Source organism: Homo sapiens, chromosome 10 (genome assembly GCF_000001405.40).
Source record: "Homo sapiens chromosome 10, GRCh38.p14 Primary Assembly".
In the NCBI taxonomy this organism is placed as follows: domain Eukaryota; kingdom Metazoa; phylum Chordata; class Mammalia; order Primates; family Hominidae; genus Homo; species Homo sapiens.
Genome location: NC_000010.11, coordinates 118,296,292 through 118,321,660, shown reverse-complemented (window position 1 = coordinate 118,321,660; position 25,369 = coordinate 118,296,292). Strand labels below are relative to the sequence as shown.

Sequence of the window (25,369 nt, the reverse complement as noted above, 5' to 3'; positions counted from 1 at the left end):
TTAAGGGCTATTTCCTGTCACACTTTTTGACAAATGAGATTGCTTCAGAAATACATGAGATTTTCAGCCCTTGTAAGAATAGTAAATGTTTTTCTCATTGTACTTTTTATATTCATACAAATACAATGTTTTTTTCTGGTAAAATAAATGTGTTTAATGTGGGATTATAGCATTCTGATTAAAAGAAAAATAATTTAGGCCCTGTTCTTTGCCCTGTGTAAGTGGAAAAACATCTGGAAAATGTTTGCCGTTCAGACACAGGCCAAATTGGAAAGATACTGATGTTACTTTCATTAAGTACCCGTGAAGAATAATCAAGATGGAATTTTTGAATGAATAGTTTGGTTTGAGATTTAATTTTACATATTTATCTCCTTGGTACCAATAACCATGGATATGAGAGATGGGATTTTGAGAACTAAGTGTGAGTTTGGGGGCAGAAGCCCTTTATGAATTAAATGTATATGTGCATGATAGGTGTCCTTTTGGAAATCAGGTATATTGGTTTTTCATCAGTACCGTTTTCTTTTTTCAAGCAGCAGTGACTGGGACCTGCTGATAAAGCCTTTGCTCAGAGGCACAGATCCCAGAGTTCTTAAAGCCTTTTCCAACCATAATAAGTGAAACTAATTTTTGATGTTTAACATTTATAAACCTATGAAACCAATGGGGCAGCATCAGTATTGAGAAAAATGAAGCCAAAAGTAGAACCATGTCTGAGAATAGGCCTTGAAAACAGTTCTTAAAAAAAAAAAACCACACACACACACACACACAAAACGGTATTCCAAAATAAGACTGTTAGTGTGCTCCTGTTGTGATACAGCAAGAACATAGTTTTCCGGAATCATACTCCCTTAAATTAATGATGGCATTAAGATGTGTAGAATCTGGTTTGGGGGATGTCTCAGTCACTTCACATGTTTGAAGCCTAGATTATGCTGTCGTCTTTGGTTTTGTCATGTAATGTGATTGAGACTGTCCCTCCTGTTGATTAAATACTTTGTTAAAAGTCTTGGGGGAGAGATGAAGTAGAAACATATACTTAGGTTTGTGTCATACTGATGAAACTGTTCTAATTTGAAATATGTGTGTGTGTGTGTATGTGTATAAAATACACATTCAAGTATTTGAGTGTATTTGTGGCTTGTTAAACTCAGACTTGGTTTGATGTACATTCCATTCATTGATAATGATCATTGAAAATGCCACGCTTTGGTACTTTCTTTTCTTATACATTATGTTTGTTTAAATCATACCAATTTATAGAAAACGATAGAAACAAATATTTTAAGATTAAGTGCTAAAGTCTAGATTTAACAAAGGAAGCAGATTTAACTAAAAATTTAATAAAAATAAATTTATTTTATTTAATAAATAAAGTTTTTATTTTATTTAATAAATTAATTTTTTATTATAAATAGAGTGCTTAAATTTTTGGATTTTAAAATACAGGTAAGTTAATAATGTTAAAGTAGTAACTGCTTACTACCGATTACTTAGATTGAACCTCACATAAAAGGGGATTTCTCTCTAGGCATCTTCATGTTAGCCTGCTATAGATAAAAACCAACTTGGTTTGGCAGCAGAACCGTGAGTTTCTGCCATCCAAAGCATCATACCTATTGCTTAGGTTGATTTCAGTTATACCTATATAGTGTGATGGCAGAAATGAATGGGGAAAGAGAGGTTGCCTATGAATTTCATTTTGGCTTTTTTATGCCCTTAAAGATTATCCTTTTTCTGTAAGTAGCTGAAACAGGATGGTCTTTGAAGGCAGAGTAAACCTGACTCCTTGAAAACACCAGAACTTCATGTTGTAACATTATAACAGTTTTGCACAAGCTACAAAGAGTAATCATATTGGTTTTTGATGATTTGCAAGGCATTTAATATAATATTTACATCTCAGATCCTGTGGTTATAATGCGCTGCCATCTTTGCTGAATCTAAAACCCTTTGATTTAGAGTCATGATACGATAAAATTTTTCATATATGAAAGCTCATTTTTTGAACTTATAAAAAAGGAACTAAGGCAATGACTTCAGCCCTTAGTGCTGTTGAGCTTAATATTATTGAGAATATAACCACGGTGTATCAAAAGTAGAAATGATAAATATATCTCATTTTAATGGTACCCTCTTTATAGATGTAAGTGTTGTATTGGCAGAATGAATTGTGCCAGAAATTGAATTTTAATTTTATTATAAATGAAGTAGACTGCTTAGATTTTTGGATTTCAAAATACAGGTAAAGTTAATAATGTTGAAGTAGTAATAGTTTGTCAATATTTCAAGAAGGTAGGAATGGCCATTAAAAAAATAAAGTTTGAATTGATTGAGTTGTAATTTATAACTAAGTGAATTAAATGCTTTCTAAATTTGAGCAGACTGTTAATTTGTAGCCTAAGCTCTGTAAAGCAATTGTGGAGAACATCTAAAGGCATTCTCCTAGAAGAGGACTTTATATGTACATTTGAGGAGACAGATTTTTCGTTTTATATTAACATCTGAGAAGTAGTCCTTTCTCAAAAGTGCTGTGGATGCTGTAGCACTTGCTCTAGTATTCAGGACTTTTCCAGTCAGTTTATTGTTAGCTTTTGGTTTCCTTGAGAAAGGGTTTGACTACAATTCTTCCTTTTCATTTCAGTTATTAGTTTTATGTAGATGTAAGTGCTGTTATCTTGATGGAAAAGGAGCTTGAAGTCCCCTCCCCCTGGGAAAAAAAAAAAAAGCCCTTCCCAAATAATACAATTTTGATCAGAGTACCTGGAGTGTTATTGTGTCTGGAGTTCAAAACATTTGCTTAAATTTTGAACTAGAGATGTTCTCAAACCTAAGTTTAAAGTTACTTCTAGTCAGGGCCATTATGTTTGCATCAAAAAAATAACTGAAAAAAACTGAATTGAAAGACAATATTATAGTGAAGCAGATCTTTATTCTGTAATCCAGAAAACAAAATCGTTTTCTGTTTTTGTGAATACTTTGTGTAGAAATGTCTTGACAGCCACGTTTCTGAGGTAAAACGGTTTGCTCAGATACAAAGCTGAGCGGTGTATTCCAATTAGCTGTTCTAACAATTTACCACTGGAACCTGTGACCCTGCGGAAAGGTTGCAGATCTTTTCTGTTGTCTTAATTGTGATTTCTAGCCACTGAAGATTGGGTAAACATAGTAAAAAATGCATTAAGTATTATTTATATGTATTTTAAGGGTTTAAATTTAATATCTCCATTTGAATATTTTATTTTTATGGAAAGGAAGTTACTTCATTGCTAGTATCAGGGATGTGTATGACGAATATAATGTAGGTTTTGCTGTAAAAGCAAATGGTTGTTTTTTGTTTAAATGATTATTTCATACAGAGTCATCTAATGTCTGCACTCTGGCAAAATATATTTTATGTCTCTCTTTCAAATTTTATTACTGTGCCTTCTGTCCCTTACTTTTTCTTTTGTTTGCTTGTTTATTATTACTCTTTCCAGTAAAGCAGTAGAGTTTAGGAGACCATTTTCTTTTTGGTATATTTCACTGATCAGCAATGAGAAAGAATATAGGAGACCATTTTCTTTTTGGTGTATTTCACTAATCAGCAATGAGAAAGAATATAGGACACTGGGGAGGGAAAAAACCTTTCACCAAATAGGCTTGTGTTGATCAGGAGCTAATTCACCACCTAGGGAATGTGGGAACTCTGCCTCTGGGAAGGATATGTGTGTCTGTTGAGGATCATCTAGAACTCGCTCTCATTCATTAACTTTGGTCATCTTTCAGTGCTTTTTAATTTAAAAGTTACTCTGTGTATCATTTTGTATTCCGCACATTATCTGGGGGGCTTTTAAAGGGCTATTTTAATTCTTTGAAGCCTTGTTCTCCTTAGTTCTTACAGGTAATTCAGTTATTACATGTAGATCAACAATTGGCACAATGTATGGAAAATAAGCTGTGACTTCCCAAGTAAGAGAGGGCCTGGATGAATTTCTTTACATCTAGTTTAAAGATATGTTTGTTCCCATACAAAATTGTGCACAGCCGTGACACTGCAGCATTTTAATATCAGAAAAATAAGGCTGGTGTTCAGTGATGGTTTTTTTTCTCTCAGGTTTTTAGGTGTGCTTATTCAAATCTCATTACATTGAGGATATTTTCTTTTAACCTTTGGGGTATGATTGGGTGATCACCTCAAATGGTGTTCCTTATGCTCTCTTTTAATTATGTTTATCTGTGCTTTTAACTAACCTTAAAAAAAGATTTCAGATGTTACAAGTCTAATTAAAGAGACAGACAAAGCACAGTTTATACTGTAGAATTTTTCTGCAGTTCAATTAATCAGCATGTTTTCTCTTTTAATTAAAACCATTTTAGTAAATTAAAGCCCACAGCAAAACACATATATAATTTGTTTGTAATTAGCTCTTAATTGGTGGTAGTTGAAGCTTAGCACCCTTGGTTTCTTTCTTCATGATTGCCATTTTATTAGCAGCCAGTCATTAATTAATCTTTTTCTAATTAGCTTATAAAACTGTTGATGGCACATTATTGTAAATGTGATTTTAAGTTCAAAGCTTGTTAATAGGCTTTCTTACTTAGAAGAACAGAGATAAAGAAATTGCTGAAAACAGTACTACAGTTCTTTAAAAAACTGTCTTTCTTATGGGGGCTGTGTAAAGCATCTAACAGCTTATGGTTAATTTTTTAATGCTTTTTTCCCCTTATGAATGGCATAAGTTGCTTGAATATAAACGTCTGTATCCAGGAGTAATTTCAACAGTAGAACATCATCTTCTCCCTCCTTTGGAATACTGTAATCCACATATAATTTGAAGCCTTAATAGTCATCATTAAAACAGGTGTTATGTAAATGATTTCACTATGAAATCAGAGTATATGAATCATATATGCACATATACACACATATATGAATGATATGTGGATATACACATATAAAAGATATTTGTATATATATCTATTTGATGTGTTTTAAAAACAGGATTTGTTGGGTTATGCTTTGAAATAAAGTGATAGGAGTTGTAGGTATAAAAATAAATGATAGCTGTGTAAACGATCGTACATATATATAGATACATGTAGTATACAAACGTGCAAACATATGCAAACCTGTGCATGCACATTTTAAGATGACAGTGAAGTTAGGTTATATTTCTTAGGACAGAAAATGATTTGATTTAAAGAAGGAGTTAAGTGACTGGATATGGCCTAGCTTATTTGCTTCACCAGGGCTTTGGCATCTCAGGTGTGACCATGGAGGGAAAGGTACCAGTTCAAATGTAGATGTCTTGAATTTACTAGAGCACATAATATATTAAATTGTGGTTTGAGTGAAACACATTGGTCACATTATATTCTTTGTTGAAATATACCACCAGTTTCTTAAAACTCCTTCACTGCAAGGCATTGTGAGCTGTTTTTTAAAAATCAATATTAATGCAGAGTTTCGAAAGTTATTTTTTAAAAACACAGTGTTACCAGTCATTGGAAGTACTTTTTCTTATTTGCTTCTTGAACTTTGTATGTTATTTCAACTTTGGCTATTTCTTTGCTTGTTTTTTGGAAGGCATTTTATGATGCCATGCAAGAGACACTAGAAAGGGATAGCTGACAAGGAAAAAATTAAAAATTGGATAAAAAGTAAATGAATAATGTCATATTACTAAAAAGATGAGAGGCTAATTTGTGCCGACTTTTTGCTAATTTTGTTCAAGCCTCAAAATGAGGAGCTGTCACCCGTTCTGTGTAGCACTGATGACAGTGCCAATGATCCATGAAATAAGCTGCCGCTGGCTTTGTTCTGATAAGAATGAACAAATCTGCACCATGTTCGGCTCCCAGAATCTCATTTTCATACTTGCATGCAGGCTAAAAGAAATAAGCTGTTTGCAGGCTTGATTAATCAGACATTGGAGGGGTTTTTGTCTCTTTGATCTCTTTCGTCTCCTAGGTAACTTGCTTGACATTAATGTTGAGCTTGAGTAAAGACAATCAAGAATTGTCGACCAAACTGATATAAAAATTAAAGACCTTAACACTTTAAGTACTCCAGTAATGGTTCCGCTTTACTTCAGAAAACATCTGTTTTCATTTAATTAAAGAACAAAAGAGAATGGCATAAATATTTTTCATAGAGACCTATTATTCCATAAAAAGTTAAAGTATGATAATTGGTATTTTTAAATAAGTGCCTTGAAAGTGTTCAAAAGGGAGGAAAACTTTATAAATCTGTTACAAGCTAGTAATTTTGAGATGAGTAAAATTTACTCTGAAACGGATAAGAAATTTACAGTTATGCTAGATTAAGCGGTTTGAATCAGATACTTCAAATGATTATCAGCAAACTTTATAATGACAAGATTTTGCAAGAAAAACTAACTTTATTTTGAAGTTTGTCTTTTAAAAATCTGTACTGTGTTGCAAGGATGTGCCATTATATCTATTTTACAACCCAATATGATTTACACACGCTAAACCTGTAAAATTGAAAGGAATTAAAAAAATGTCGCCGTGCATTTGCTTGAGGTTATGCAGACGCTTTTACAAATCTTCCAAGTGGCTGTAAAGATGAATGCCTCAAGGGTCCAGCCAGGGCCCTGCTTTTCCAACCAGCTAAAGCCCTTATCTTAAATCCAAGCAAAGTACCATTAATCTTTTTGAAAGACCTTTTATGGCTTTTAATATATCCCAAATTAGAACATTTTACACCCTTGGTTCCTGAAATATGGTGATAAAAAGCCTTTAGAGCTTAATTTTCCTTACTGCATGCTCTGACCAATTTGCAGTTCTTTGTGATAATGTTTAGACACCTTAATTAAAATGCAGCAAAATATTGGATGTTCTATATGGAAAATGCTGATACTTTGGCTACACATACAAGAAATTTTGTATATATTTTATTCATTTAAAAAAATTTCTTTCCACGTTGTGTTGCTATAGTTATCTGATGACCCAAAACCATTTTTTAAATATTAAACCATTGACCAAGCTTTTGTGATGTTTACATTGAGCATGAAGATGCATTTTTCTTTTTATGGAAGTGGAAGGGGGATTCTTTTCGGCCTATTTTATTTGTTTGTAATACTGCAGCACAGCACGATATTCTTTTATATTCTGGAACCCAGGTTAGTCATCTTGACTGGGAAACTGCGTTTCTTCTCAACTGCCTCTTTCATAGAAGGTCTTATTAGCCTTTTATATTTTCAGATATTTTTTCTTTCTCCACAGAAATAAGTGAGACACGTTCATTTTAATTATACGAAGGACACAAAAAGGCTATGAGTTTTCATCATTACAAGCTAAAAGATTTCTTTCTGTAGAAAATACATAGACCAGGTTTGCTTAGTGTTTTATCAGCTGAAGAACATTTTATTTAACCTAAGCCAAGGTAAAATACAGTTAGAAAATATACCTTTTATAGGATCAGGTCTGTTTGAAAGTGTTGCTTATGTACCTAGTTGTTTATTATATTTATTAAGCTCACAAAATGATGGAGCCCTCTCATGTGAATGGCTGCTTATTAATACGTTCTAATGAATTATTTTTAACAAGCATATACTGTATTAAGGAACATATGCTGTTAAGTATTTACTGTGATGCTAGTTGTGCTGGATTTGGCCTTAGCATTGCTGGAGCACTAAAAGCTTTTACATTCTTAGAGTACATGACATGTCGAGGTGAAGAGTCTATTGAAGTCAGATGACTGCATGCCCAGACATAGGGAGCTGCTCTTTGGCTTGGTTTGGCTGTCCTAACCAGGACAGCCATGTTGGGAAATTCCAATGAGAAAAATATAAGTTATGTCTTAATTGACAACAGTTTTAAAAAATAATTTTCTCACATTGTTAATGTTACATGGCAAATATGGTTCAGATCATTTTTGTTTCTTACAGTATAGTCTCAGTTGAAATATAAGAGAAGCTAGCTGAGTGGGTCATTTTTGGTGGGTGGTTTTGGCAAAACTGAATTTGCATTTGATAGGAATGGAGTTAATGGAAAAAATATAGATTTTTCTGTTTTACGTTTTGGCGATGGGGAAGAGGAAAGAGACTGAATTGTCCACTTGAATGTGGAGAGACCTATATGCATCTTAAACACAAGTAGCCAGCTATGATTTACAGCAGAAGAGAGTTTATTAGGTATATTTACTGCTCCCTTCATAGCCTGCTGTACCTCCACATTTCCAAGCCCCCTTGTTTCGGAGCCACGTGAGTAGTTCTGACCAGTGGGCTCTGAGCAGAAATGATTTGTGTCACTGCCGAACTAAAGCATCGAAGAGCCATTGTGAGGCCCTCCCGCTCTTGTTCTGCCATAATAGTCCTGAAAGCCACATGTTGAGATGCCGGCATCACAGGTTAGAGGAGAGTCCTGCCCATCCACAGGGACTTAAAATGAGACAAGAAATAGAAGTTAGCTAGTGAGATTTGGATATTTGTTGGATACTGCAAGGTTGACTAGCCTAACTAGTTGATAGGTGTTAACTTGATTTTTTTTTTTTTACATGTATGACAAATGGATAGTTTTTCAGTGGATAGGAACTTCATCTTAATGATAAATTATGCCACAGCCTCCTTCCAGAGTTTCATTTTCTCCTGGGATGATGATAATACAGGCTTTTGATTCTTAACCTTTTTTTATTTGGTTGACTTACGTGAACTTTTCTACAATAAAGAACTGGAAATTTTGAAAAGAGAACCAAAAGAACAAAGCCAATACTAAAGCAGTCAAATGTAACTGCCAACTCCTCCCCAGCCCCACAGTTTGAAAACAACCCGTTTCACTCAATGCTCTACCTCCAGCACCTAGAACAGTGCCTGGCAAAATTATGCATTTATGCCTTTGTAAAATTTGTTGAATGAATGTTATTCCTTTGAAAAAGAGGAGGACGACAGTAGCACTGCTAAATACGGGTTTGAGTTTTGGGAACACACCGAGGTTGGTCTGCTTTACAATGGATCATCCTTTCTTCGGCGCCTTTCCTGTTGATGTTGACCAATTCGGCACCGTAGTTCAATTGTCAGCTTCCTTCCATTTGTCTACGTTCTTTATATATATGTTCTTAACTGTACTGAAAAATCAAATCTATTTTTGCCCTCATTTATAAACTACAGACAGTGCTTGATTACTACTTGTCGATTTCATCCTAAAGGAAACTGTTCTCCAAGATTAAGCTGAAAGACATGTCAAGCGTGCCAAACCTTGCTCTCCTAAGTTTGCTTCTTTCCTTACACGTGTGCTCTTAACCTCCTGCCATGCCTTACTATTGGCAAGCAGATCCCTAGAACTTAGGCTTTAACCTGTTGACTTTAGAGTGGCTTCTAGGTCATTTCTTCTTTTTTACAAGTCTGCCTGTCTACTAATATGCATCAGGTGAGTACAAGGGATAGAAAAGGCAAGAAACACCAAAGAGGTACTTCGTTTTTATTGTTTAATCTGGGTTCTTAATGGGTACTCTTGAGCTGTCCGCATTGGTGGGCATTTTAAAACTAAGAGCACACTAAAAGTAGAAGATACCATCACAATGCTTATCCTGGAGATGCTTGCTGGGGAACAGCTCTGCAGCCAGAGCGCCGTGCAGGGCAGAGTGTAAAACTGAAAGCTGGAGGGCTGGAGAAACAGGGACTGTTTTAGGTTGAGTTAAAGAAGACTTCTGGGATGGGGGGATTTCACGGTGAATGGATCTTGTAGGACTGGCAGGTGGGTGTAAGGGGGGCACACATAGAGGGCCCTGCACAGGGGACACTTAAGTACTGTGGTCCTGGTGCTCAGCCTTTTCACCTTAGCACCCCTGATATTCTTTTTTCTCTCAGTGAATTAAAAGCTGTTACCGATCATACAGAGTGCATTTATGAAGTAGTAATTAGCTTTCCCATGTTTTATTAATCACATCTGTGACTGCCAATCAGAGCTTCTGATCAGCATGAGATAACTGGTGTGACCATACTGAGTTGCTGTAATTCTAGCCCAGAGCAAAGAAACTTGATGTCTCTGTCAGTGTCTGCAGCCTTATCAGGGGTAAATTCCTGTTCAGCCTACTGCAATGCTGAAATAGCTTGAAGATCCTCATTACTACCTTTGTGGACCCTCGAGGGGCCTCAGTTTGAGAAGGATTTCCATCCAGGAGACTGGTATAACTAGGGTAAAGGGTCTATTGGGAGTCACGGGAGATATGGGTCCTGTCTTTGTATTCATTATACTTTGAGAAGGAATGAACATAGAATTTCTAATTTCTAGACATGGCTTTCTTACCCACAAGTTCTCAATTATTTGTATAAGTGTAATTACTGTATTAGCTGGAATATTTATTTTCACTTTTTTTTTCTCCTTTGTAATTCTTAGCTTGGTGTAAAAATTGCCAAAGCAGTTGCCTGCCACAACTTTGTAAAAGCCAAAAAGGAGGTTGAAAATTCACAGGCTGCCCGAAAAAAGAAGAAACTTGCATGGGGGTGAGTTTACTTAAGATTTTTGGTAGTAAATCTCCTGACTTCATAGAAATTCTGCTAATATATTTTGTGATCTAGTTCGTGTATAACTGTTAACTCATTTTACATTTTTTTCTTCGTTGAATGTTTATCAGATTATAAATATAGAGGCATTTCTTCATCCTGTTTAATGTTTATTTTGTAATCATTGGAGTATGTGAAAAATTTTTGTTTGTTTTGCTTTGGTCTCTAAGTAAACATGTTCAGCAAAGTATTTTTTTTTTTAAGAAATAAATTGAGATTTGTATGTTCTTCCTTTTAGGTTTGAAGCAAAGAAGAGATGGGAAACCAAAAGCAACATGGGATACATGTAACTTGCCAGAGTGCTTCAAGACATTTGTAGACTCAAATGCTCAATTTACTGAGAATGTTTTCCTGCCTATGTTAATATGTCAGAAAATTGATAGCACTAAAACAAAAATAAGCATAAAATTTGGGATTTTGATTATCAGCTCTTTTCAGTCTTTCTTTAAGGACTTTGTCCTATTGAAGTGAATAAAATGAAGCATTCTGTTATTTGTATAAGAAATGTAAGAAAAAAAATATAGAAAGAAGAGGATAGGATTTTGTTTATTTGTATGGATGGACCCTTGGTATAAAATCACTTTTGGCGCTTTCCATTCATTTGGTTTAGCACAGCCAGTGAGCTTCTCGTACTTTCTTTCTTTTTTTTTTTTTTTTTGAGACAGAGCCTCGCTTGCTCTGTCACCCAGGCTAGAGTGCAGTAGCACGATCTTGGCTCACTGCAACCACTGCTTCCTGGGTTCAAGTGATTCTCATGCCTCAGCCTCCTGAGTAGCTGGGATTATGGACAAATGCCACCACACCCGGCTAATTTTTTTTTTTTTTTTGTATTTTTAGTAGAGACAGAGTTTTGCTGTGTTGGTCAGGCTGGTCTTGAACTCCTGGCCTCATATGATTCACCTGCCTCTGCCTCCCAAAGTTCTGGGAGTACAGACATGAGCTACCATGCTGCCCTTGTATTTTCTTATCTGTACCCAGTGTAACTACACGTTTACTGGAACTGTGTTTTTAAGACTGACAGTTGTTTATAATGGATTAGTCGTAAGTACCAAAAAGTCTCAGTTGATATTATCTTTACAAATGACTTGACCTTAATGTTATAAAAGTAGTTACTGTTTTTTTTTAATTGGAGGCAGACTTGATATTTCAGAGTTGCATAGTAAAAGCAATTTGTTAATTTTTGTGTACTTTCAGATAAACTATTACAATAAAGAAAGGAGCAGAATGTAGTATTTGGAAGATGATTTAAATTCAGCAACGCCTAAAAATGTCTTCCTAAGTATTTTTCTCAGCCATGTCATTCTTTAAATTATGAGATGGTTCTTAGAAGAGAAAATGGTGTAATTGTATTAAACAGACAATTATAACTCAAGATAATATAACTTTGAACCTTCTAAGAACTGATTTGTTTGGTTTTCCTCCCATTCCCCATTCCTCCTTAAAAGATTGAATGAATTAATGAGCAGAAAGAGAGGATTGGTAACATGGGAAATCGTTTTCATTAGATGTACATTTCCTGGTTCTGACAGGAAAGGGGCTCCAGAAAATCATAAAACAAGCAGGTGAACAAGACCAGGTGTGTCGGCACCTCCCTGCTCAGTGCCCAGCGGAGGTAAAGAACCACTCAGCATGGTTTTTGTCAGTTCACCTCTTCTGTCGTTGTCAGAGGTTTCCTACCTGTCTGATATAAACTTTCTCTGGGTTGATAATATAAATTCAGAAACATGTAAAATGAATCATGATTATATTACTGTTATTTTTAGACTTAAAATAGTAACAAAATTTTATTTATGGTGGCACATTTAATGGCTTTTTTTTTCTGTGTTCTGGAATAAGAGAATACCTAGCTACTATTTAAGCATCCAAAAATCATATCTTGCTTTCATTTAGTTGAGAAAAGCCAGCATAGAGAAAGCAAAGTTTTAGAATATTATGTGTCATACTAATTCAGTATCCAGACCAAATGTTGGAAAGTCTTATTTTATGATTTAATATCCCTTGTTCCATTTTACAGATATGATCATGTAAAACTTACCTACAATATTCATTTCAAACTGCTAAATTAGGTAAATACAGACTTTTAGTATAGAAACCTTTCCTCTAAAAATCCATTATGGGGGAAATATTCACTATACAATCCAGTGGTTTTGTCTGAAATCCTAAAAATGTTATTTTTGAGCAGGCGAGTGGTATAGATATTCTCACACTTGGGGCCCCGATATGGGCATTTCCCTTTGACTTCAGTCTCATTTTTTTTTTTTTTTCTGTTTCTACTCCTTAGAGCATTTAGTGACCCCTGCAGGCATGTTGCACTTCCCATACTGAAGCCTTGCCAGAGTGGCCTCCTGTAGGGTCTGACTTGGGATCCTGTCCAGCCAAGGAAGCCCTTCTTCAGCCTGCTCCAGTGCCCGCAGTTGCCCCCTCAGCATCCCCTCGGGGTTCTCATGTAGATGGGAACATTTTAACTACGCGGAAGGCAGGCATTTCAGCAGAATTAAGTATAGCGGGGGCTCATCTAATAAAGGAAGCCACTTCTCCCAAGTCGTCACTCCTTTCTGGGCATGGGTTGTGGAAAGCTCTAAAACGTTATGTGTAGCAGAAGAAGGGGTTGGAGGGAAGATTTGTGGGGACAGGTTGTCTTGGATTGGCCCTGCTGACATGTCATTTGAGAGCAGTTTTATTTTATCCTTTCTAATAGGAATTAGGTATTTTACTCCTAGAAACATTATTCCTTGAGTACGCATGCTGCTCAAAGGATGTAGTCATTTGTCCACTCCATTCTAGTCACAGCAAAATAAGGATTCTTTTTGGATCAGTAATAACTTTGGTTCCTAAAACTTCAATATGTGCATTTACTACCACCAGAATGCCTGAGTTAGATCAGTAATGTAAACGTCAGTTATTGTTAACTGAGATTAATATGTTTCAGGCCGTTGGTATGGCATTAATGTAACTATGATTTACTATTTAAGTACTTTAGGCTAAAACATCTTACTAAAGAACAGTAATTTTGAGCTTTACAGCACTGGTTCTGAGAAAGGGAAGTTGGCAGTGCATTCTTGTTTGGGAGCCCTCAGGATGTTTCTGATTTTCAGCAGAACATTCTATGTCTTTCACCGAAAGGAGAGATTGAATATATAATCTTAGGTTTGCTATAATTAGTTCTGATGACAGAGTTAAATACCTCAGCCAAGACTGTAAATCAGTACGTAAACAGGTTTCTGCAACTGATCATAAATCTCAAACTGCATATTTTAAACACTTATTTTTTTAGGATGACAGATAAGGGAGCAGCAGGCTAAGGATAGGAATAAAATGTTATCTGAACTTTTAAGTCACAACTTAGAACTCACATTAAAATCTTCTGATTTTCTTTATACCTTTTGTCTAAAATATTATCTTTTAGCTTATTAATAACTTTAATAAGACAAGTTTGAATTTAATTCACAAAAAATGAAGATATAATTTATAAAATGTCCAAATTTTTGTTAAGACATTACTTTTTAAGAAATGTGTGTCTTGCTAAATATAAAACATATTGTATGAGGTTGTTGTTTAAACAAAATGAGAGTTGTACATTATTTTTTAAGAGATGATAAAGTTTGAGGAGGCAAGCCGATGTTATGTCAGATCTCATTTTGAAGTTAGTGAAACCTAGTCTAATCCAGAACCAACTGAATCCAAGTTTTCCATTTTGGCAGAAGTTGCTTTTATTTTTAGTATCTGGCAGAGCAACAAATGCTTTGCATGTCAGTTCAATATTTTTTCCTGCCAACTGTTTATTCATTGGCTTAAAATTTACACTCTACTAAAGTCTTAGCTCTGACTTTCATGAAACAAATAGTAATATTTGGACAAAATATGTACATGAAAATCTTTTTCCAGAACCAAATGTAGACTGGTATTTGTGACATCAGTGCCTTCTAGCATGGTGACGGGTCGAAAAATACTTTGAAAAGTTGAAGGCTGTGTAAACCCACGGCAGTGCATCTCAAGTGATTTTTATTATGAGGTAATCAGAGTATCTAGGTTTTCAAATTTAAATTAGTGGGTGACTTTATGCTAGAAAGTAGAATATGTGTTAGAATAAATTTATCAATATATATTCTTGGCCTTTGTAGGATACTGAGACAATAAGGTCCATTTTTCATTTTTGAGGTTGGGGAGCTCTGTAGATTTTGATAAAATGTGCAGAACTGCATTCTTTAATCTTTATTATTTCATCCTCCCTCCACACTGCTTGCTTTAAAAGAAAAAAATACCTACACACATTTTCTAGTGTTAACTGCTGTAATCAGCATAGACTTCCTGGGAAGGGATTCTTGCCTTCAGTAAAGGACATGACAGCATGTGGCCAATGGAGATTGCCACGAGGAAACCTGGAAAGGCATTGAACCATTTTGTGCTACTGTTAAAATGAGGTGTGTTGTCTCTTTATTATCTCCTACTCAATAGTGAGTATTCTGGAGGTGTCTGTTCCCTTTCCGGAATTTCTTCAAATACAGAGATGCTTCAGAGTAGCTTCCTGCCACATTGGCTTTCATGATCTTAATCCCTGGAACACAGCTATAGGCTTCTGGGAGATAGTTTATTAAATGCCATGCAGAATGCTATGTTTTTAGATGTGCATGTAAATCAAGAATTAGCTGAGGAATATCTTTTTATTAGTAGTAGTAGTAACTCATTTTTAGATTCAAGTAAAGTTTGTTTTCCAGGTGAGATGACATTTTTAAGAAATTGAATTTAAGTATGTGCTTTTATATCCGGACCAGGTTTCTCAAGGAAGCAGAATACAAGGGAATGAAAGGGGAAGGGAGGGTAGTGCCCAAGAGAAACCTCGGCTCCTAAGTGCTCCCCTGCCAGGTTTCCCCCGTGCCTGCCCACTGGCACCATCCTGGCAGCTCCAGCCCACACCCCCTCCTGGACCCTGGGCTGCCTCTCGCTGAATAGCTGCAGGGGGCCTGCTATGTGACAGGTATGGAATGAGGTAATCCTTTTCCACCTCTAATTTCTGAAGGGTGTGTCTGTCCAGTTTTTACTTGTTCATTGAATTTAAAGCCTTAGGAACCAACAGCTACAGTGCAAGCTGTAATTATTGATGTCTGTTTCATATTCATCTGTAAGTTCTGGCATTTGATCAAGAAGTCAATATATCACTTCATCTTCAGGCTGAATGTGTCTCAGCTATAAAGGTTTTATTGTTTGATGGATAGCATACAATTATGACTGCCCACAATAAAAAGTGTTTTCATTTGTAAGATGGGTGATACTAGAAGTAATTATGAATGTCACAAGGAATAGTGAAACAATGAAGCTTTGCGTTTCTTTGAATTTCTCCCTACATAATGCCCAAGGAACATTTCCTGAATGCCTACTATATGTCAGATAAACTAACTCTTGCAGATGCAAGGATGAATAAGCAAAATCTAATAGGAAATATATGTAAACCATGTTTTGAACAACTCCATTTTCAGGCGGGCTATTAGAAAATCAGTGAGTTTTTCTTTGCTGAATACAAAGACATAATCTACATATAAGAAGTAATGTAGACTTAAAAATTTTAGTTACCTGAGTATATACTTACTGTACAGGTTGCTGAATTTCCTAGCTAGGCAGTCAGCTACAGTGGCTTATCAGCTTAGTGACTGATCCATACTTGCTCACATCAGAGTGGGTGGGATTGATGCCCTGACTGTCTCCCCTGGAGATGAGGAGCATTGGTGGGGTTTGACTCAGGAATGAATGCAAATGTTTGTTCTGCACATTACTCAGTGATTTTAAGCTTAAAGTTTTCTTAGACTGCATTAACGTGTCCTTTATTTTAGCTTGGGTGGGCCACAGTACCTTCCCATGTTAGGGTAATGCTTCCTACTACTACAAATATGCCCCCCAAAATATAATGACTCAAGCACAATACAAGCTTATTTCTTGTTCATGAGACAAAGGAGAATGTTGCTTGCTATCAACGAGGGCTCTGTTCCGGGCTGTCATTCAGAGACCCAGGCTGACAGCGACTCACCGCCTTCTTTCCCTAGTAATCCTGGATGTCCCCTCGATGCCAGTCAGCTGGAAGGGAAAAGAGCATGGAAGAGCACTGGCGGGAAGTTACGGGCCTGGCCTGGAAGTGGAACACATTAGTTCTCACTTTGCACTGGCTCAGACTTCCTTACTTCATCACACTAACCACAAGGGAAGCTGGAAAATATAGACTGGGAGGAAAGAAATTTTAGTAAATAGCTTGCAGTATCTGCCACATTGCCTCAATCACATACGATGTAGTAACTTTACATTTTGCTGATGTTGAGTAGCACAAACTACTATTTGTGATTTGATGGAGTCATTTTTACTTGGGTGTGTTGACAGAGCTGAGTCAAAGTAGCTGTTCATATTACCGTGTAGTGGGTGTGGTGTCACAGTGTGATACCTGCTGAAAGAGCATTGCATGCTCAGTCAGTGAGGCAAAGGCAGTGCTTATTATGCCATAAAGGGCTGTTGGGACTTTACCAGGTAGGCGAGTAGAAGCGAGTGCATCCTAGGTAGAAGGAACGGCGTGGCACATTTGAGGTACAGCAAGGACTTTAGCAGGGGCCAGGGGAGAGAATGAGAACAGGGAAGTAGAGCAGCAGAAAGAGATGGCGTTGAAAAGAGCTGGCCAGAACCAACTCACACACAACTTTGAGAGATGCTGGGGAGATTGGACTTGTGCGGGGAAGAGTTGGGTGTCTATGGATGGTGATGTGGGATGAAGAAGGTAGTCAGAGAGCAGGCTTTTAAAGAGTAATGTTATATTAGTAGTTTAGTAATATAGAGTTAGACATTTAGTATTTAGTAAAGTAGGTCATATTTATACTTGTTGTGTCATGGTACCTGTGGAATGCCATGGAAATGTCAAATGGACACTTCTATGTAGCAACCTGGAGGTCAGAAGGGAGGGAGGTTGCAGAAATAGGTCGATGAAAGAGGTCTTGAAAGGTGGCATGTCAACAGGAACAAATGCCGCTGAGCTGTCAGGCAAGATAATGGTGGAGAGGTGGCTGTTGGAGTTAGCATCAGATGGCACCGGTGATCTTGGCCAAATCAGACATCCAGACCAGAATTGCAATAGATGGTGCAATTGCAATCTTAGGTTGGATTTCCTAGAAACAGTGCCTCAGATCTCTTGTGGAGGTGATTTGTAAAAGTATGCACTTCAGGAAACATTTGTAAGGGAGGGAGCAAAGCCCATGAGGAAGGGGAATGCCTGAAAGGGGTAAAGCCTTGGCCTTGTGCTGGGGGAAGAGGGCTCTGTGAACTCTGCTTGTGGCAAAGGAGCTGTTTTTTTTCTTTTTTTCTTTTTGAGACGGAGTCTTGCTCTGTCGCCAGGCTAGAGTGCAGTGGTGTCATCTCAGCTCACTTCAACCTCTGCTTCCCAGGTTCAAGCAATTCTCCTGCCTCAGCCTCCCGAGTAGGTGGAACTACAGGCATGCACCACCACGCCCAGCTAATTTTTGTATTTTTAGTAGAGACAGGGTTTCACTATGTTGGCCAAGGTGGTCTCAATCTCTTGACCTTGTGATCCGCCCACCTCAGCCTCCCAAAGTGCTGGGATTACAGGCATGAGCCACCGCGCCCGGCTGGAGCTGGCTTTTAAACCCGGTATCAGTCTCAGTCAGTCAGTCACTGCAGGCCAGCATTTTACATGGGATGAAAGGAGGGATGGATGGAAGGGGTGGAGGATACATACCTGGTCCTTCCAGTTAAACTATTTAATAAATAATCATGACTGAGAATATAAGCCTTAGAAGTACTGTTATTGTTCTGTAAATTTTTTAAAAACACTTTGAGGATTCATTGTTATTTATGCTCCTTGCCTTGGAGGGACATCTTGGTTCTACATATGTATAAATGTCTAGCAGATTGAAAATCTGAAATTCTTCTTTCATTACTCTTCCCATACAGTGCTCTTGCACTATTCCTCTAAGAAAGCCAAAGACACATTATACTTGTTTTTTAGATGAGGAAATCAAGGTGCTGGGAAGTTTAAGAGAACTCTACAGCCATTCATCTAGCATAAAAGGGCTGACGTTAGAACGCAGGCCAGGCCTTTGCCTCTTCCCTACCCCATTCCAGTGGTTCTTGAAGTGGGATCCATGCCCTCCTGCAAGCAGAATCACTTGTTAAAAATGTAAACTCCAGGGTCCCTCTCTGGGGGCAGGGCCTGGGATTCCACATTTTCAAAAGCTCCTCTGTAATTAGTGCATACAAAGAAGACTCATTGTCTTGGAGCAGCACCCGCTTCTTACACGGGGAGTCTGGGATGGGAAAGAGGAAAGCAAGTCAGTGCAACTTGCACATGTCTTATCACAAACCATAGGGAAGGAGGTGCCTTGTGGTATAAATACTGAGTTTAATGCCATTAATATAAACGCTCATATTCCCAAACAGACTGCCTGTACTAGTACATTACTTCCATTTTCCAAAAAAGGAAAAGAAAGGTTCCGTGTCAAAGAACTCAATTGGAATCCTCGCTTGGTACTTGCTTCCTTGCCAGCAGTGCTCAAAAAGAGAAAAAGAAAATCCAAAGTCCATGTACATAAAAGTTCCATTCCCGATGGTGGAGGGCTTAATTAAAGTCCTCAGATGTTTCTGTGCACCTTGGAAAACATTTTTATGAAATTCATATATTACCAGAAGTGGCTCCAACAATTCTTGCAGTTAAAAACCTTGTAACTCATGCAGCTCCATCAGGAGCAAGCTGCCTTTTTCAAGATTTGTTTTGCTGCTTCCTTTACCTCCGTAGCCTGTGGCAGTGACGGCTGCTCAAGGGCCTTAACTGCCAGGATGGCACTAGAGGATTTTCCAAGGTTAAGGTCAGATAACAGAATCTGGAAGAAATGGATCCCTCTTCCTGCATTTCCTTTTCTCATTATTTCAATAAATGCATTGAAGGCTTGTGATGTGTCTGGCACTACAGCAGGCACTGAGGATGCCACGCTGAACAAAGCGGCTGGATCTTCATGGGGCTCATATCCTAGAGGGAAAGACATAATAAGCAGACTCTGCAGTGTCACACAACATCACCTAGGAAATATAGAGATGCAAGTGCTCAGGCGCCAGGCCAGACGTGAATTCAACTGTGGTAGCAAGACCTTGTATCTTCTGATGGGACGTTGAAGTGTGAGAACCACTGGACTCTCATATGGTGATAAACTTTGGAGAAAAAGGACGGAGGCAGGTGTGTTGCTGATGCCAGCAAATGTTAGAATAGTGAAACTGCTACACCCTGGACTATGAAGCAAGCCAGATTTGAATCCCAGCTCTGCTACTTACAAGCTGTGTAACCTCCGGCAGGCTACTTAATCTCTCTGTACCTTGGGTTCTCCTGAGAAATGGAGATAATAATAGTAGCTATCTTATAGAGATGTGAGGATTAAAGGAACTAATGAATATGAAAGTGCTGAGAATAGATTCTCACATATAGCAAACAATATACTTGTTGGGAGACAATTCTCTGGACAATTCTTGCATTTCTACACGTCTTGGAAGCAAGGCACTAAGTACCCTTTTGTTCCAAACTATCTTTGCAAGGATGTTTGTATATAACATCCTTGGAAGATTGAGATAGTGTCTCACTCTAGAGCAAAGAACAGACATGCTTACTCCCATTACAAAAGATTCGGTTTCCTAACTCAGAGTTCCTGTTCTTGAATGAAAGTCATGCAGTATACAGGTGTCTTTTGGCCCTCTTAACTGTCATACTGTAGGAATCAATGCAAAAATGCTGATGGCTATTTCTGTTGTGAGTAAATGTCTGAACTGAGAGTCTAGTGTCTTCTATCAGCATTTGTAAAACTGGCCAACTGACTTGCTAAGTTGCAAGTAGGGTGAAATCTCAGACCCTTCGTAGTCCTTGACAATTCTGTGAAAGTGTGTAAGTGTTTGTTAGTACTAATGTTGTTATTACTCCACAGTACGTGCCAATTTTCTGGAAGAAACAAAAATGTAATTGATGGCCCTAGCCTTCAAAGAGTTCCCAGTTGAGCCAAGGAGGTTAAATATGCGAAGATGACGCAAAAGACATACAGCAGCAGGAAAGCAAAGCTTTGGAATGAAACTTGGGTTTGAATGTAGGCTGTGGATGCTCACCAGCTATGGCAACTCTGAGCCTCAACAAATTTCTATTTGTAAAGTGCTGTTGTTAATAATGCTTACTGTGTGAGGTTGTGAACATTAAGATAGTGCATGGAGAGAGCTTAGCACGGGTCTGGCATGCAGTAAGCACTCAGTTACCATTACTGATGTTGCTGTATTGCATTTGTGCTTAGGATACAAGCAGAGCACTTTCTCTCCCCTCCCTGGGTCTTTAGGGAAGTAAGGCCCCAGTACTGTACTTCCTTTCAGGTGGAAGCTGCTTTCCTTGGAACCACCAAACCCCAACTCAGTATGTCCCTGGATTCTGCCCAAAGAATTCCCCAGGGCTAAGCTCCTATAGGTGGGTGGCTAAAGGACTGGCTTCAGAGTCAGACAGCTCTCAGTGGATATATACTTAGAGATTTAATATGATATATACTGCTTTGAAGTTTATGTGGTTTTTGATGATTTTATTAATGTGCATAATAGTCCTAGCATATAATATGTGTTCAGCCAATGTTAATCAGTGCCCTAGGCTACACCACCATGATCTAATGGGCCATTCAATTTTCATGACTGTATTCCTAGGATATTTCTCAATGACTCATACATGGTAGGTGTTCAGTAAATATTTGTTGATTTAATTGGCTTGAGTGAACAAAAGAAGTAATACGTCCTTTCATCTTTTCTTTCAAGATATTTCTGCATTAAATCATCCTCAGTATATTTTTTTGAAAGCCAAGTTTTCCCAAAGCTCCTCATTTCCTCATCTCCCTCTGTGCCACTGGTTTTTCAGTTGCTGGGGGCTACAGACCCTCTCTCTAGAAAGATGGACATGTGAACATAAGCACTGCATTTTGCACACAATTTCCGTGGTTCAGAAACCACCTGAACTTTTCCTTCTAGAGGACCCTGCTTAAACACTTCCATTCTAGGGTGTCCAGCCCATTAAGATGGCCAAGAAATCACATCCCACTCATCTCCCCCAAATCAGCAAGCTGTCATGGACGGTCCTCAATACAGTTGCTACTTTGTTCCTCTATAATCAAGGCCACACAAGACCCACTTCCAATCTACTTGTGATTTAGGGATAGCAAAGGATTAAAGCAATTCAAGTATTTTAGATTCCTATTGATAGCAGAATTGTGGTTTTCAAGACGTGCTAATGGAAAAATTGTTAGTAAAAATAGGTTCATGCAGTCTTATTGATCATGCTTGTAATTCTGAAGATTCCACTTGTACTTTTTGTAACCATATTTCTCTTCTCTTCCATTCTCTAGTTGTGAGAAAACCCAGTTGTCCAATAATTGTCAAGCTTTCCTCGGCCTTAGGGAATGAGCACTCAAGACCTTTCTGGGCCAAGTGTGGTCGCCGACTCCTGTAATCCTAGCACTTTGGGAGGCCGAGGAGGGAGAGCTGCTTGAGCCTAGGAGTTCAAGACTAGCCTGAGCAACAGCAGGACTTCATCACTACAAAAAATAAAAAATTAGCCATATGTGGTGGTACACCCCTGTAGTCCCCCAGCTACTCGGGAGGCTAAGGTGGGAGGATTACTTAAACCCGAGAGGTCGAGGCTGCAGTGAGCCGTGATCGCACCACTGCAGTCCAGCCTGACCCTGTCTCAAAAAAAAAAAAAAAAAAAAAACCTTCTGGAAGCAGAAAGGAGGAGGTTTTCCAAAACCAAATCATGTCAAGTACCTAGCTTGACCTCAAAAAAAAATACAGAAGCAGGGTTGGTAATTGATTGACAGGAAGGGCAGCTCAAAGCAGGAAATGGAGAGTGGTATGAAAACACTTAAGCAGTACTGCCCAAAGGAAGAACCTGAAAAGTTCAGCCATAGATTTTCTGAGAAGATGAAAGTGTAGGCATTAGCATACTCAAGAATCAGGCAGACAGTTTTCCCCATTTGGAAGCTGAAAAAGGAATGATCTGCTGCCCAAGACAAGAAAATGATGTGGGCCCAGAGGGAACCGTCACTCACACGTACACTGTCCAGGGGGCCAGAGAAGGATTACAGCCGCCATTTTGGCTTCTCTAGAGTGAAGCAGCAAAACAATGTCTAGTGGTTGCTAGGCAACCATTAGTCCATCGCTGCCCTTTTCCATTAAACATTATCTGCCTTCTTAGATTGTTTTATTTTTTTAAACAGGATAGGTAATGCAACAGAGAATTAACGGTGCAACCTAACAATGAAAACGCATTTGAGGTTCCCGAATCAGTGAAGGCTTTGCAAAGGTTAGATCACTCTTGGGTGGATGCCGAAGATAGTGACAGTTGACTGAAACCTCTTCCCCAGACATTTCATCACTGGTCCTCATGTTTCCTAGTGCCAAAAATAATAATGTGGACGTAACAATAATCTCTGTACATTGTAAAATGTCTGTCCTCTGCTACGACCTGCTCCAAGCTAGATCTTGTCCTGAAGCAAGTTTCTCTATCGGCAAAGAGTGGATGTCAGAGGTGGTAAAATGGAGTTCTAGCCCTGGTCAGCTTTGCAGATAGCTAAGATCATGGTATCCAAAGAACCTGAGCAAAAGTACATGGAAATAACACCTGTTTATGCAAGGAACGCTTTCTGACACATAAAAATGAAGAGTAACTGGTAGGAGAGAATAAGCGTCTTTATTCAGATACACATCGCATTCGGATTTTAAACATACCTAATGACTTTTACAACAAGAGGACACTGAGGTACCCAGAAAGAGGGTGGAAAATCAGGATGAAGGGAGTTACTGCTAGCCTGTCATGTACCATGCACACAACCTATCTTTTTAAATACCAGTGGATTTCCTGTCTGGCTCAGGGGGCCTGTCTAGGAAGAGATTCAAGGAAAGTAGATGGGTTAGTTCCAGGGACTGGGGCTCAAAAATTTAAAGCCACACGTAACGTTAGCTCTCTCACTCCCACACACATTTAAGATAAAGGAGATGGCAGTAGTGTGCTGCCCAGAGGATGGAATACGCAGATAACTAGGTTTCTATACTGGTTCTACTCACTAGTCTGATCTTGGGTAATTTTTTGGGTCATTGTTCTGTAAGGGAGGGCAATAATAACTACTTGGTCAGGGCTGTTGTGACAATTCAGCAATAAAACATGGTCAATTGCAGCTAAGTATAATTATTACTTTATTGTTGCTGTTATCACCACCCACACCTCTAATACTGTTCCTGTACAGCTAGAGAAACACCGCTTTTGGTTGCCCCTTTCAGATTTGTGTTCTTTCAGGCTGCCTTTGGTGCTCTAAGTGCAATTTCATCTGGATAAGAAGAGTATGATATATGTTGCTCAGGGCGCTCTAACAGGAAGGGACTCCAGGCTCAGCTGTACCCAGCCAGATACCTGGCTTGTGGAGTAATTGACACCCTACAGGCAAGGGTGGACCAACTTCGTTATCGTGATACCTGCCAGGGTGTGAGGCCCGGTGTGACAGGTGTCAGTTTCACAGTCTGTGCAGATCCTCACATGTACTGAGATAGAACCGCCATTTTTTCCTATGTGCCCAACACCATGCTAATTACTTCTTAAGCATTATCTTATTTAATTTTACAACTCTGTGAAGTATATGCTATTATCCTTATCTTGCACACGAGGAAGCTTACATGCAAAGAAGTTGCACAACTTTCCTAAGACCAAACCCATGGTAAACCCAAGGCCCGAACCTCTGCTAGTCCATTAGTAACACAATGGCCCCTGGCGTGTCGAGTGGGCCATCTGGTAATGAGAGGAAAGAAGGCCTGGGCAAACCACACATCTGCATGGAAGTTCAAGTCCCCATCTTCTGAGAGGCCAGTGAGGTGTAGGATTATGGAGGCCTCACCCAGCGCAAAGAATGGCAGCTGACAGCGGCAGCATACTTAGGACATGAACTCCCGCACAACCAAGGGGCCCCTTCTGGTGCAGCCAACAGGGATGGGAGACATGAGATGTGCATTTGAGCGCTGTGGTTGCCCGGGGTAGAGAATAGGTAGATGAATGAATTAGGAGAAGGAGGAAAGTTTGAACCAGAGGAATTTGGTTGTCTAGACTCAGCAAAATGAGAAGAAATGTATTCAGTTATTTATTCATTTAAGACACACTTAGTATTGTATGCCAGTACATGCCAGGCACTGTACTAGGTCATGGGGATAGAATGGTGAGCCAAAAAAAAAAAAAAAAAAAAAGAAGAATTAGCCTTTTCTTGTGCAGTCACTTCCCTCTTGTAGCTTACAGTCTAGTGCTAAAGAAAGACGTCATCAAAGAATCACCCAGATAAATAAAAAGTCTATCTGGGATAAATGCTGTAATGGAGTTTGTGGTTTTAGGAGGGAGAGTAAGATGGGGAATGTGAGTTGATTGGGGAGACCCTTGAGGAAAGGAGAATGGAGCTCAGCTCTAGAAAGGGAGAAAGTGAACTAGAACGAGAGAGTGTGTAAGAGGGCTCTGTGCAGAGGGAACAGCCTCTGCAAAGGTCCTCTGAGGAGAAGGAGGCAGGGTACACTTAGAGCTTGAACAAAGCACTTGCACAATCAGTAGAATTTGTCAAGTCCACACAGTGTCCAGGCTCCTGGATCCCAGGGCTGCTAATTAATGGGAGCAGGGCGGGCATGTGGGCCCACCCCGCCCCAGATCCCCACAGCAACCTGCTCCATTGGGAGCATTGCTTGTGGCCCTCAGCCTTTCTACACACCTGTCTCCCACTCTGAGCAGCATCATTGAGTCACAGCCTCTGTTTTCCTCTATTGTTGAAGAGCTTCTACTTAGAGCT

At 38.6% G+C, this 25,369-nt stretch overlaps 1 protein-coding gene across 5 annotated transcripts in view, besides 1 other annotated feature; it reads left to right on the top strand.

Annotated features, from left to right (window-relative positions):
• FAM204A (family with sequence similarity 204 member A) overlaps positions 1-23,736 on the top strand; it is a 44,400-nt gene extending 20,664 nt beyond the window's left edge. For 4 of the 5 annotated variants that reach the window (NM_001134672.2, NM_022063.3, XM_005270024.2 and 1 more), the window contains 2 exons: positions 10,348-10,454; positions 10,753-23,736. In NM_001134672.2, coding sequence (NP_001128144.1) covers positions 10,348-10,454; positions 10,753-10,804 — 159 coding nt within the window. In that variant the 3' untranslated portion in view covers positions 10,805-23,736. Of the gene's footprint in view, positions 1-10,347; positions 10,457-10,752 lie in introns of those variants that run through there. The other variant, XM_047425618.1, reaches the window with a different exon arrangement.
• Positions 5,477-7,134: an enhancer, noted in NCBI's record as "VISTA enhancer hs672". NCBI's record gives its function as "enhancer in: midbrain (mesencephalon)[4/5] | forebrain[4/5]" and the evidence as "EXISTENCE:transgenic organism evidence [ECO:0001131][PMID:17130149]".
• Positions 23,737-25,369: the final 1,633 nt, after the last annotated feature.